This window comes from Homo sapiens, chromosome 9 (genome assembly GCF_000001405.40).
Source record: "Homo sapiens chromosome 9, GRCh38.p14 Primary Assembly".
In the NCBI taxonomy this organism is placed as follows: Eukaryota; Metazoa; Chordata; class Mammalia; order Primates; family Hominidae; genus Homo; species Homo sapiens.
Window position 1 is genome coordinate 88,465,005 of NC_000009.12, and position 14,846 is coordinate 88,479,850.

Consider the following 14,846-nt stretch of genomic DNA (forward strand, 5'->3'; position numbering starts at 1 on the left):
AGTATTTGTTTTGTGAGTAACTTATTTCACTTAGCATAATGTCCTCAAAGTTGGTTCATGTTGTAACGTGTGACAGGATTTCCTTTAAGGCTGAAAAGAACATTCCATTGTATCTATATACCACAGTTTGTTTATCTGTTCACCCATTAATGGACATTTGGATTGCTTCTACCTCTTGGTAGAATGTAAAATTGTACCATGTAAAATTGTGAATAGTGCTCCTGTAAACATGGATATGCAGATATTTCTTTGAGATCCTGCTTTCAGTTGTTTTGGATATAGGCACAGGAGTGGGATTGCTGGATCATATGGTAATTATAATTTTAATTTTAGTATCGTAATTCTAATTTCTTAGGTAGAACTACCATACTGTTTTCCACAGCAGTTGTACCATTTTCCAGTCCTACCTACAGTATACAAGGGTTCCAGTTCTCCATCCCTTAGTCAGCAGTTGCTATTTACTGTTTTTGTCATAGTGGTCATCCTGATGGGTGTGATACGATACCTCATTTTGTTTTGATTTGCATTTCTCTGATGATTAGTGATATTGAGCATCTTTTTATGTGCTTGTTGGCCACTTGTAAATCATCTTTGGGGAAATATCTACTCACATCCTTTGACCATTTTTTAATTAGGTTATTTTGATTTTTGTTGAGTTGTGAGAGTTCTTTATATGTTCTGGAGACATGAGTTTTAATGTAACAGTATGACAGATTTATTAATGGTTTCAGATTCTGCATTGTAACTAACCTTTAAGGAGCTAACTGTTGAATTCTGTGGTTTCATATAAGTATATCTAGAATTATCTGAAAGACGATTAGAATATTCTTTTCAGTATCATATCTTTGAGAGGCTGGATTTTATACCTGAACTGAAAGAGCAGATCATAACAGATTGAGTGCTAAAGCAGATATGAGAATCTACTTGTTCTTTTTAAAACCTAGACATTAGGAGATTTGCAAAAATGTAAAATTAAGCCACTCTTAATGTATTTTGATAGGAAATAGTTATTTTTAATTTAAAATGCATTGATATATAGGTATTTTTAAATAAATGTTTCTAGATTTGTTTTTCATTTTCTGAAGTAGTAAATATTGGTAGGCATTATCTATGTAAACAGATGCTTTTTTAGGTCTGTAGTAATTTCCATTTATGTTTTAATTTTTTTTTTAGAGACAGGATCTCGCTTTGTCACCCAGGCTGGAGTATAGTGGTGTGATCAGGGCTCACTGCTGTCTCAACACGTTGAGCTCAAACAGTCCTCCTGCCTCAGTCTCCTGAGTTGCTGGGACTACAGGCACTCACCACAGTACCCTGCTAATTTTTAACTTTTTGTAGAGATGAGATCTCATTATGTTGCCCAGGCTGGTCTCAAACTCCTGGCCTCAAGCAATCCTCCTGCCTGGGGCTCAAAGTGCTAGGATTATAGATGTGAGTCGCTGTGCCCAGCCAGTAATTTTTAAGAATGCACATGGAGTTCTGAGATCTAAGTCTGAGATCTACTGGCTTTAAGAAACTAGTGGGGTTTTTTTACTGTCATACACGGGGGGAATTCTGTGTAATTTTTTATTATTACTGCGTACTTAAAACCAGCCATACATGTTTAGGGTTTGCTGATAAAATTAAATAGCAATACATGTATCAAGAAAATCTCACTTTTTTGTTTCTTTTGATGTAACAGAAATAGAAGTTTGTTGAATGAGGAAAATAGGAGAGCTAATTGTTTGTTGTTGTTGTTTTTGTTGTTGTTAAGACAGGGCCTCACTCCCGTAGCCCAGGCTGGAGTGCAGTGGCGCCATCTTGTCTCACTGCAGCCTCGACCTCTGGGTTTAGGTGATTCACCACCTGAGCCTTCTCAGTAGCTGGGACTACAGGCCTGCACTGCCACACCTGGCTAATTTTTTGTATTTTTAGTAGAGACGGGGTTTTGTCATGTTGCCCAGGCTGGCCTCAAACTTCTGGGCTCAAGTGATTCGCCCGCCTTGGACTCCCAAAGTGCTAGGATTACAGGCGTGAGCCACCGTGCTTGTCTCTAATTGTTTGTTTGTTTGTTTGTTTGTTTTTTAAAGATAATTGTTTAAATTTGGTATAAAGACAGTTATCTAAAATTGTGGACTGGAGAAGTCTTAAAACCAATGGGATCCTTCATAGTTTTTCCAGTATTAAAAAGATGAAGGTGATAATTTTCACCACTTTTGAAAAATATTAAGGGCTAGGACCGTTAATCTATCATTTCAGAGACCTGAGCTCCCAACCACATGGGGTATCTGATTAAATCATACAAATACTGACCTGCTATGATCTAGGTATAAAACAAGAAAGGGAAGGTCTCTGCTTTCATGGGGATGTACAAGCAACTAACAAGTACACAAATAACATAAAGTGGGATAACTTTAGATCATGGTGAATGTTATTAAGAGGTAAAATTGGGTAATGTGACTGGGATTTGTGGGGCTACCTTGTTGGTCAGGAGAACTCCAAAAGGAACCGGCCTTCTGAAGGTATGGGGAAGAGCTTATCAGGCAGAGGAGAGTGTGTCCTAATGGGAGAGGAAGAAGAGCAGAGTAGAGAACGCATGAACAACAAGGAGGAAGATGGGAAACCTGAGGGCAGAGGCGTGAAGGCTTTTAGGGCTTGGGGGCTATGGTGAGCAGTTTGGTTGTTTTTCAAATTATAAAGGGAAGGCATGGGAACATTTTAGATCACACAATGTGGTATCAGTGACACAACGATTACTTTGGTTGCAGTGAAGAATAAGATTGTAGGAGCAAGAGAGTAAAAACCTATGCCTTAATAAAAAAATGGAAATAAGACTGAAGGAAAACAAACACCAATTTCTTTAAAAAAAAAAAACAAAAAAAAAACCCTCTGTGCCTTGAATAGCTTTTCTAAGTTTTAAATAAACGTTCTGTGGTTATGTAAGATGCTAATACAGGAGAAGCAAAGTGAACCGTATACAGGAACTCTACTATTTTTCCAGTTCTTCTGTAAGTCTGAAATTATCTCAAAATTTAACTGTTAAGTAAACAATAACAAACAGTATTTTATACCTTGAATGAACAATTAAAACTTTTGATTTGGGTACAGAACCAAGAGCAGATGAGTCCAGAAAAATAAAAAATCATATTTTTTTCAATTAACTGACTTGGGACAAAATACTTCTATTCTGTTGAATCCATCTCTGAGCTGGGGCCCAGTAGTTTGTCTTTGGTTTTTGTACTTTTTAAAGCTTTCCCAGATTCTGATGCTTGCTAATACGTTGCATGGACAAAATTTCAGGTGTAGCCTTCTTTAGTAAATTCAGTCTTCATAGTCGGTAATCAGCGAAACACTTTGTCAACTTTTTTTTTTTTTTTTTAATCCCCAGCGACATCTCGAATCAGCGATGCACACTTGGCAGACACAATGATTGGCAAAGCAGTGGAACATATGTTTGAGACAGAGGATGGTTCTAAAGATGAGTGGAGGGGAATGGTCTTAGCACGTGCACCTGTCATGAACACATGGTTTTACATTACCTATGAGAAAGACCCTGTCTTGTACATGTACCAACTCTTAGATGATTACAAAGAAGGCGACCTTCGCATTATGCCTGATTCCAGTAAGTATATATTGGCAACTTTTATATGTGATAATTAGAAGGGATTTGGACTTCAGTACAAGATATTTGATTGGCTCTTTTGCAGATACATTTTTATTTTTGGATATATGATTCTTTTAGTCATGCACAAACACAGCCTTTGAAATTTTTCATCCAGTTGTTATAAATGTTAGATAAGAAAATATTTGATAGTCAGTTCTGCTTGGCTTCTGTAATAAGATACAAGTTGTTTTATAATTATTAACACTACTACATATTACTTCTTGCTTTTATTTAAAAACATGATGGAATAGGGATCAGTAAAATACGTCCCCGTGTACCCTGCTCAGCTTTAACAGTTATCTCATCGCCTGTCTAGTTTTATCTGTTAGTCCCCCCAGTGCAATTATTTTGAATCTAATCCCAAGACATTGATTATTTCATCTGTAAATACTTGAACTTCAGAGCAGCGATCTTCAGCCTTTTTGTCACCGGGGACCAGTTTCATGGAAGACAGTTTTCTGTGGATTGGGGGTTGGGTGTGGATATGGTGGTTTTGGAGGCATTAGATTCCCATAAGGAACACACAACTTAGATTCTTCACATGCGTAGTTCACAATAAGGTTTGTGCTCCTGTGAGAATCTGATGCCTCTGCTGATCTGACAGGAGGCAGAGCTCAGACGGCAGTGCTCTCTTTGCCGCTGCTCACCTCCTGCTGTGCGGCGTGGCCCCAGGTGTCTGGGACTCCTGATTTAGAGAACATCAATTTCAGAAAACGATTGACTGCTAACTTTTCAGTAGCAAGTGGAGTACAGAGTCAGTGTTTAGACAGGTGATTTAGCTATTTCCACAACTAGTCTGTTCACACAGGTAAGGTAGAAGAGGATGTGACCTGGGCTAATTTCATTAGGCCTAGAAAACCTTTATTGTGGTTTTTGTTTTTGGACAGAGTCTTGCTCTGTTGCTCAGGCTGGGCTGGAGTGTAATGGTGTGGTCTTGGCTCACTGCAACCTCCGCCTCCCACGCTCAAGCGAGTCTTCTGCCCCAGCCTCCCAAGTGGCTGGGACTGCAGGCACCCACCGCCACACCTGGTTAATTTTTGTTTGTTTGTTTGTTTTGTTTTATATTTTAGAGATGGGGTTTCACCATGTTGGCCAAGGTGGTCTCAAACACTTGAGCTCAGGTAGTCCACCAGCCTTGGCCTCCCACAAGTGTTAGGATTACAGGTGTGAGCCATTACGACCATGTTAGTCCATATAGTTAGTCCATTTAAAATGTGCATTTCTGTACTTTTTAATATACGCACAGATATGTACAGTCCTCACCACAGTCGATTTTAGAACATTGTCATCACCTCAAAAGAAAACTTTGTATCTGTTAGCTGTCAGTCCTTTATTCTTCGAACCCCCTGGCCTTAAGCAACCAGTAATACTTGCTGTGTAAATTTCCCTGTTGTGGACATTCATATGAATGGACTATATGGTGTGAGGTCCTTTGTGCTAGCTTCTTTCCCTTAGCATATTTTGAGATTTCATTCACGCTGTAGCATATATCAGTACTTCATTCCTTTTAATGGCCAAATACGATTCCATTGTATGGATATACTACATTTTGATTAGCCATTCATCCAGTAAAGCACATCTGAGTTGTTTCCCCACCTCTTGGTTATTATGAATAATGCTGCTGTAAACATTTTTGTACAAGTTTCTGTGTGGACATGTTTTATTTCCTTTGGGTATATACCTAGGAGTGGAGTTGCTGGGTCATAATGGTAACTCTATGTTTAATCGTTTGGGGGAACTGCCAGGCTAATTTTAAAAACGGAAATACCACTTTACATTTCCAACAGCAGTGTATGAGACTTCTGATTTCTCCACATTCTCACCAACTGTTACTGTTACTTTGATTCTGGCCATCCTAGTGGATGTGAAGTGGTATCTCATTGTGGCTTTGATTTGCATTTCCCTGATGAGTAATGATGTTAAGCATCTTTCATATGCTTATTGGCCCCCCCCCTTTTTTTTTTTGAGACAGAGTCTTGCTCTGTCGCCCAGGCTGGAGTGCATTGGCGTGATCTCAGCTTACTGCAGCCTCCGCCTACTGGGTTCAAGCCATTCTCCTGCCTCAGCCTCCCCAGTAGCTGGGACTATAGGCGCGTGCCACCATGTCTTCTAATTTTTGTATTTTTAGTGGAGATGGGGTTTCACCATATTGGCCGGGCTCCTCTTGAACTCCTGACCTCAAAGGATCCACCTGCCTTGGCCTCCCAAAGGGCCGGGATTACAGACATGAGCCACCATGCCCGGCCTATTGGCCCTTTTAATATCATCTGTGGTGAAATGTCTATTCATATCCCCTGCCTATTTTTAAATTGAATTATCTGTCTTTCATTATTGCATTGTGACAATTTTTTAAATACAAGACCTTTATCAGATATATGTTGCAAATGTTTTCTCCTATTCCATGGGCTGTTTTTACTTTCTTGATGATGATCTTTGCACAAAAGTTTTAAACTCTGAAGTCCGAGTTATGTTTTCTCTTGCTGAGTATGCTTTTTGTGTCCTAAGAATCTTTTGCCAAATCTGAGGTCATAAAGATTTACCCTCGTTTTCTTATAAGAGTTTTATAATTATAGCTCTTACTTAGAGATCTTTGATGCATTTTCAAGTTAATTTTTGTTTGTGGTTCAAGTTAAGGGTCCAACTTCATTTTTTTTTGCTTGTGACTGCCTATCTAGTTGTCCAAGCACCATATTTTGAAAAGACTATTCTTTCCCCCATTGAATGGTTTTGGCATCCTTGTTGCGCGGTGGCTCACACCTGTAATCCCAGTACTTTGGGAGGCCAAGGCGGGTGGATCACGAGGTCAGGAGTTCGAGACCAGCCTGGGCAGCACGGGGAAACCCTGTCTCTACTAAAAATTAGCCAGGTGTGGTGGCAGGCACCTGTAATCCCAGCTACTCGGGAGGCTGAGGCAGGAGAATCGCTTGAACCTGGGAAGTGGATGTTGCAGTGAGCCAAGACCGCACCATTGCACTCCAGCCTGGGCAACAGAGCGAGACTCTGTCTCAAAAAAAAAAAAAAAAAAAAAAAAAGAAAATCAGTTGACCACAGATACGTGGGTGTGTTTCTGGACTCTCAATTCTGTTGCATTAGTTTGTATGTCTGTTGCTGTGCCAGTGCTGCATTGTCTTGATTACATTGCTTTGTGGTAAATTTTGAGATCAAGAAGTTTGAGTCCTGCTTTTTTTTTTCCTCCTTTTTTTGAGACAGTCGCACTCTGTTGCTCAGGCTGGAGTATAGTGGCACGATCTCGGCTCATTGCAACCTCCGCCTCCCAAGGAACTGGGATTACAGGCATACGCCACCACATTGGGCTAACTTTCGTATTTTTAGTAGAGATGGGGTTTTGCCATATTGGCCAGGCTGGTCTCAAACTCCTGGGGTGAAGTGATCTGCCCACCTCAGTCTTCCAAAGTGCTGGGATTACAGGTGTAAGCCACTGCACCCCGGCCCCTCCTTTCTTTTTCAGGAGTGTTTTGACTATTCTGGGTCCCTTGCAATTTCATATAAATTTTAGAATCAACTTGTCAGAACAAAGAAGTCACCTGGGATTCTGACAGGGACTATGTTGAATTTGTAGATCAGTTTTGAAGAGTATTGCCCTCTTAACAATGTTAACAAGACTTTATAAGTCTTCTAATCCATGGCTTGATCTCAGCTCACTGCAGCCTCTGCCTCTCAGGTTCCAGCGATTCTCCTGCCTCAGCCTCCCGGGTAGCTGGGGTTACAGGCACATGCCACCTCGCCTAGCTCATTTTTGTATTTTAGTAGAGATGGCGTTTCACCATGTTGACCAGGCTGGTCTCGATCTCCTGACCTCAGGTGAGCCGCCGCGCCTGGCCACTTTTTATTTATTTATTTTTTGAGATGGAGTCTTGCTCTGTTGCCAGGCTGGTGAGCAGTGGCACGATCTTGGCTCACTACAACCTCCAACTCCCAGGTTCAGGCAATTCGTCTACCTCAGCCTCCCGAGTAGCTGGGATTACAGGCACACGCCACCACGCCCATCTAATTTTTGTATTTTTAGTAGAGACAGAGTTTCACTGTGTTGGCCAGGATGGTCTCGATCTCCTGACCTTGTGTCTCTCACCTTGGCCTCGCAAAGTGCTGGGATTAAAGGCGTGAGCCACTGCGTCCGGCTCCACATTTCTTTTATTAAATTTACTTCTAAGGATTTTATTCTTTTTGATGCCATTGTGCATATGAATTGAATTGTTTTCTTAATTTCACTTTTGGATAAGCTTGTTCCTTTAAAAACTACTCAGTGGCCTTTCTTCAAACACATGAATCTCTGGCCTTGGACAGATGTAACTGGTAGGCCCTCTCCATACATTAGCCATGCGTCAGTCATCTTTATTTCTTTTTTTAAAAAAATTCTTCCTATGAATAAGTTAGTTAACATACTAATTTCCTCATCTGGCCTTGAATTTCTACTTCTTCAATACATATTTTTAAAATTTTTGGGCTGGGCATGGTGGCTCACGCCTGTAATCCCAGCACTTTGGGAGGCCGAGGCGGGCGGATCACCTGAGGTCAGGAGTTCGAGGTCAGCCTGGTCAATATGGTGAAACCCCGTCTCTACTAAAAATAAAAAAATTAGCCAAGTGTGGTGGAGGGCGCCTGTAGTCCCAGCTACTCGGGAGGCTGAAGCAGAAGAATCACTTGAACCCGGGAGGCAGAAGTTGCAGCGAGTCGAGATTGCACCACTGCACTCCAGCCTGGGCGAGAAGAGCAAGACTCCGTCTCAAAAAGAAAAAAAAAATTGTGTACATTTGTTATAAAGGGGTAATGCAACTTACATACTCAGGAATTTGTCATGAGAACATTTCTTTAAAAAGCATTTCTCCAACCTGTATGAGGTGACTTGAACATTTTTTTATAGATAAATAGAGCAAGTCCTGTTAACCTAATCATAGGAAATGCAAGGGCGTCTGCAATTCTGCATCGCTTTTCCTAGCCATTTTTTGATCTTCCCTCTCCTTTAATTCTCCAAACTTGTGTGTGTGTGTGTGTGCACGCGCTATGGAAGCTTATTACCTTTAGAAACAGTGGTGATGCTCTGATCTAATGATTTCTGAAAGGGTCCTGGTCGCGTACCCGCTCTGATGGTAAAACAGGCCTCTACATGACTCCCTTGGTTAGCTGAGTTACTATAAAATTCACGTGCGATTGTGTATTTGTAATTCTTTTGTAAACGTGCCACAAAAATATGGCAGTATGATGATACTGCTTAAGGGAAGAGAATTTTTAAAGAAAAGAGTTCAGCTTATATTTCTTTATTTCTTTTAAAAGAATTGATTATGCTCAGATGTTTTATTTTTATTTCTTGTGACTCTTAGTACCAGAGATCACAGTAGCAGTTTTTGGATTGTCATTCAGTGAGAGAATTTATTGTAACCGAAGAGGCAGACTACTATTAATACATGTACATTATATGGTCTACACCAGGATACCTGTGAGAGTAAAATGACATTACTACCAATTGTGCCAGGATAACATGGACTGTCTTATGTAGCTGGATCCTCTGGTTGCCCTACCTGAAGGCCACCTGCTACTACGAGGAAAAGAGCTTCGAGTTTTTCAGAACCCATGCAGAGTTTCTTAAAATAGAATTATAATTGCCTAGCAAACCCCCTCTCTTTTTTTTCTTTTACTTTGTTTTTTTGTTGTTGGTGGTGATGGTTTGCTGTTTCTGTGTGTTTTCTTAGAGGCTAGAGGCAGTACATTAATCTTGGGGACCTTTTAAACAGTACAGATGCCTGTGCCATCCTCAGAGATTCCCTTGTAGTTGTCCTGGGCTGAAGTTCATTCAGCACCAATTTTTAAAGCATGGAAAGCTTAAATTTTGGAACTGAGTTAGGAAGATGATGTGAAATGCAGTGAAGTTGAGGGGGAAGAAGCTTTAAGGATTCACAGAGTAAAACCAATGGTACTTAGGCATTTTAAATGTGTGCCATATTCTCAGTAATCCCTGTAGGAATTGTCTGCTTTCAAATTATATTTCAAAGCCACTCAAACTTATTTTCATTTAAGTGCAGCTACAGATTAAACATGGGCCAAAGAAATTTTTGGTTATGATTTTCAAAATTGTTCATATATCTAGATGGAGGTCGGCAAACTATGAAAAAAAGTTTTATTATTGGAACACAGCCACATCTGTTTATATACATATCATCAGTGGCTGCTTTTGTGCTACAGTGGCAGAGTTCAGCAGTTGGGACAGAGACCATATGACCCTAAGCCTGAAATATTTACTGTCTTGTCTTTTACGAAAACGTTTGCTGACTCCTGGTCTAGATAATCATGAATTCAGGCTATTAAAATTTTTTTTAAGTTATGAAAATAAATATGTGAGTTGATTTATATCTAAAAATTGACTTAGAAATTTTCTCTCTCTCTCTTTTTTTTTTTTTTTTTTTTTTTAATATAGATGATTCACCTCCAGCAGAAAGGGAACCAGGAGAAGTTGTGGACAGCCTGGTAGGCAAACAAGTGGAATATGCCAAAGAAGATGGCTCGAAAAGGACTGGCATGGTCATTCATCAAGTAGAAGCCAAGCCCTCCGTCTATTTCATCAAGTTTGATGATGATTTCCATATTTATGTCTACGATTTGGTGAAAACATCCTAGATGTCATCACAAACTCTGCCAAATTTGTGGAACTATGAAATGTATTATTTGTAGACATAAAGACTTGATTGCTTTCCAGTTTAATGAAAGCTTAAATGTCCCTGCGAACCCACAATCTCTGCCAGCAGAACTGGTTTTGTTCTGAATAGTACAGATTGATGTGAACACAAAGCATTTTGTGTAAGGAGAACCCCTTTCTTTTAAAAGAAGTCTGTCTATTTCGAGGGGAGTTACAGGCAAGTTTGGTAAAAGTTAAGCTAGTATCATAGTCATTTAAAATTGTAATAGATCTTAACCATTTTCCCCCTCACCCTAACTCTCTTATTCTGCCGCCACAATGCAAGCATAGTTTGATGTTTTCGTTATTGCCTTTTTTGAGATGTATGTATCTGTATCTACCTATATCTATATGTGTGTATACATATATAATATATACACACAGATACAAGTGTACACACACACACCACACACCACACACACCCCACTGGCAGTCTTTGTGGATTAGGATGGGGGTGACATAATTTTCTTGAGTTTAACAGGAGTGCTTTACCCAAGTCAGTCATGGATATGATATCACTGCTCTTTATTTAAAAGTAAACTTTGGGCACAGGAACCATATGGGAACATTCAGCTTGTTTAAAAAAAAAAAATCAGAAGTTCAGAGCACCTTTTCAATCTGGAGCCCTTAAACCATAAGTCCAAATATGAATTATTTGTGAACAGTTAATGACCCATATTAGAATTTTACAATCTGGTGAACAATCTGGGTAAAAGGCTACCTTTAATTCTAAGCTTCATTTTTTTTTGGGGGGGGGTTACATTTTAATCATAAATTCTTTTTTGCAAAGCCCAGGTTCTTGTTCCACACAGTGTAATGTAGGTGTATTTTGGACAGCACATATGGTCCATTGTGTACAAGTCAGTAATCTGGATTTCAGTACATGGATTTAAAAGGCAACAATCCATCACTGGTTTGTGTGTTTTTGGTTAAGTTTCTGGAAGAATACAATGCTTTTATATTGGAAGTATAAGTTTTGAGTGGCATTGTTGCCTTCTAACAAGCTCTCTGGGACTTTTAAAGTTTTATTACTATTATTGCTAATGTATGATTATGGTCAGAGACTTTCAACCCACCCCTTCCTGCCTACCCCTGGCTTTTCCTCACAAAGAATGTCTAGACAAACAGCAGCTTAGTCTCCTGACACCTCTTGTGGGGTGCATGTTCCTGCTCCAGGTATGCTGTTCATGTGGATTCATTCCATTCAGTGGCCCCTTGGGGTTTGCATGCCAGTGAAGCGTTACCATAGAAGAGCCAGCCGTTTGTGTTCGCTTGGTAGGTGTAAGTAATAGCAGCCCTTAGCCACGGAGTCTTTATGTGGTTTATTCCTGCAAGGTTGTTTTAAACTGAAATAGAACTGCTAGTGTGATTGGTTGATCAGCAAAACAGCTGCTCTCATTTTGTTTTGGAGGAACCCTGGTGGTTTGACAGCCAGGAGAAAGGCCATATGTGAAACCAGTCTCTTGTGGAGATTGGAAATCCTCCCTGATATTTGGGCAGAGCCTAAACGTGCATGCTTGTCACTCAAACACCAGAAGTTTGAATCAGAGGTCTGAGTGACCTCTTTTGTGGCTGTTCTTGATGGTTTCCAGGCCTCGTTATGCATGGTTTGCTTGATGCCCATTTTTTGTGCCTTGTGCTGTTGGATGGTAACGACCACTCACCATGTAAACACAGTACCTCAGTTTTCTGTCCACAGCTGCAGTCGCTCTGTCCCTCGTGCTTCACTGTGGGCAGCCAGGGACAAGCTTCTGAAAGCAGTGTGATACCCAAGTCATAGGTGCTTCTCGTATGTGAACAGGTGTCATTCTACAGATCTGTTATGTGTTTTCCTGTTGACTCTTAAGAGTCCCTGCATGTAAATCTCAAAGCTGAGCCTGGCTCCCAGAGTCCAGACTGACATTACAGCGCAAGAGTTTGCAAGTGTGTCCAGCATGCACCAACTGTGCAGAACTTGGCTCGGTAACTTTGCGTGGAAAAATAAAGTACATTTTGAAGTATCTTGAGGGTTGGGTCAATTGAGACATTTCTAGCATTACTTAATGACTTGCATTGTGGTTTTTCTGCAAGCAACTTTAATGACTTTTTTTATACCACATGGTCTCCCAGTTTCTAGATGAATGCAACATGATGATGGTGATGATGACGATGAGTTTAATCATTGTTCATTTATTGCCTTTAGGGCTGAGGGAAAGGGAAGGTTTGTTTTTTTTTCTCCCCATTTTCCCCCATTCTGTCTTTCTTTTGGTGACTTACACCACATGTAATGACGCTATGACTAATTCTGCTCCCAAGCCCTTGTATCTTGGGCTTCATTTTAGGCTCATGTGTCAGATCTGCATGCATTGCTTGCATTTTTCTGGTATCTGAATGTTGGTTCCTTGTTCCAGGAATTCAACATTAATTTCCAAAAGTATCATGGGACTTGTGACAATACAAGACATGAATCTATGTATAAAATTTATCGGCCTTTCTCATTTACCTGCTCTAGTATTATTGTATTGTGTGTGCGTGCGTGTGTGATGTCAGGCTGCCACGTAAAACTTCAGAGAAAAATCTTAAAAGCAGACCATCCTTTTTTGCATGCTCTATTCTAAGTAGAATGTTCAATGTAACTGACTAAAATTGCATGTTAAAGATATTTAGGTTTTTTTGTTTTCTTTATTTTTATTTGTTTTCAGTTTCCTGTATATTTGCTTACTGTGCCGTTTTAGTGGTTTTAGGATAAAAATGCACTGGTGAAGCAAATGTAGTGCCAACAGAAGGTGATTTTCCAGTTGTAAATGTCATGCAGCATTTGAAGGGACTGTGTTTTCTTAAAAAAAAATCACAGTTACTTCTAAACCAGATTTCATTTCTTTTATTGTTTTATGTGCCAAACCACGAAGTGCATTGGGCTTCAATCTCTGAACACTGTAGACCCATTAGAAGACTGTTCCGATTGTTACAAATTGTAGTGCCTGAAAACACTCTTAAGCTGATTGTCTTAACAAAATGAAAGTTCTCCAAAGACAAAACAGAACAATTATTATAACAAAATAATTATGGTTGAAATGTCTGTGGTTCCTTGGAAATGCTGCGCTCTTTGTGTTTTTCCATCATTAGTGCAGTTGGAATGAATGTGTATAGGTCAGAGGTCTTCGTGTTCACATTTTAAAATTAGGTAAATGACCTCATCTTTCAAGCTTGAATTCATTTTTAATTTTAATTTTATTTTATACAATGTGTAGACAGTTCCCTGTTCTCTGCATTTAGAAGTATACACAATATAAATCTGTTAATTCTGTAAGTAATTTTTATAATTATGATGTAACTCTATCTTATCCTTAAAACATTTAAAATAAACCCTTTATGTGCAACTCCTGACTGTAAAGTTTGTGCTGATGAGCAACATGTGATGTGTTAAACTTGATTCTGAAAAGTTTTTTGGGCCAAGTAACCTTTTCACCACATGTAAATGTCAGATATGCATAGAAAGAAATAGAATTTTTATTTGATAACATTCAATAATACCTGAAAGAAGAGGAGGCAGTCATCAATATCACACATATATTAAATATTGAAGTTTGCAATTTGACATTGAGAAAGTTTAACTTACAAGATCTTAAACTTAAAAAAATTCTTTTAAATATAATTAAATAATGGGTATTTTATACTTTTCACAAGTATTCTTGCTTTGAATATTTCTTATAATGCTTTTACTCATAAATAATAAACAATGGGATTCTATAGTGAAAAATCACTATTTCTCAATGCTAGGATACAAAAAAATGAAAGTAATATAGGCTGGTGCAAAGTAATAGCAGTTTTGCCACTGCTTTTATGGCAAAAAATGCAATTACTTTTTCACCAACCTAATATTAACACCTATGTATGTTTTATCTTTCTTGATTATTTTAATCAGTGAGGTAAAAAGTGGAATTTATGGCATGCTTTAATAAGATTTTTTTTTTTAATGTTTCCCAGTTCATTTTGGCCTAAGGATCTCATGCTTAAGTCTGGGATATTTACCTGCCTTTGGGAGAATGGTTGATACTTGGTGAGGGATGAATGCAAACTTGGGCTTTGGGACGCTGGGCTTCTAGGTTTGTGTCAGTGCAGTGCCTGTGCTCCAAGTCCATGGAGGTTACTGAGGTGGACTGAAGGCAGGGTCTACTCCGGCTTAGGTGGAAGAAGGCTGCAGTTCAAGGAGGAAATGAGCCATTGGGAAGCACAGGTGCCTCTCTTGAGTCTGGGTTTTCTGACCTTCCTTGCTGAAGGTAGATTATTCGTTGTCTGTGTTATCTGTCATGGGTACAGCTCTGTAAATATTGCCCCAAAAGTATAACAATGCAAGTTTAGTCTGAAGTTTGAAACTTGATAACTAGTATTTGTAAACTAATGAATCAACTCTCCTATTTAAAGCAGTCATCACTCTGTTGGAGAATTTTTGTTTTTTCTCTTGGTACAATTAAACTCTGTGATGACAAAAGCATTTGGTACTAATAAAGCATTCATAAATGCTTAATAAGTACC

At 39.2% G+C, this 14,846-nt stretch overlaps 1 protein-coding gene across 1 annotated transcript in view; it reads left to right on the plus strand.

Annotated features, from left to right (window-relative positions):
- SPIN1 (spindlin 1) overlaps positions 1 to 13,690 on the plus strand; it is a 90,251-nt gene extending 76,561 nt beyond the window's left edge. Inside the window, exons 5-6 of the mRNA NM_006717.3 lie at positions 3,368 to 3,601; positions 10,074 to 13,690. Of these exons, the coding sequence (NP_006708.2) occupies positions 3,368 to 3,601; positions 10,074 to 10,273 (434 nt within the window). The 3' untranslated portion in view covers positions 10,274 to 13,690. The remainder of the gene's footprint in view (positions 1 to 3,367; positions 3,602 to 10,073) is intronic.
- The last annotated feature ends 1,156 nt before the right edge of the window (positions 13,691 to 14,846 follow it).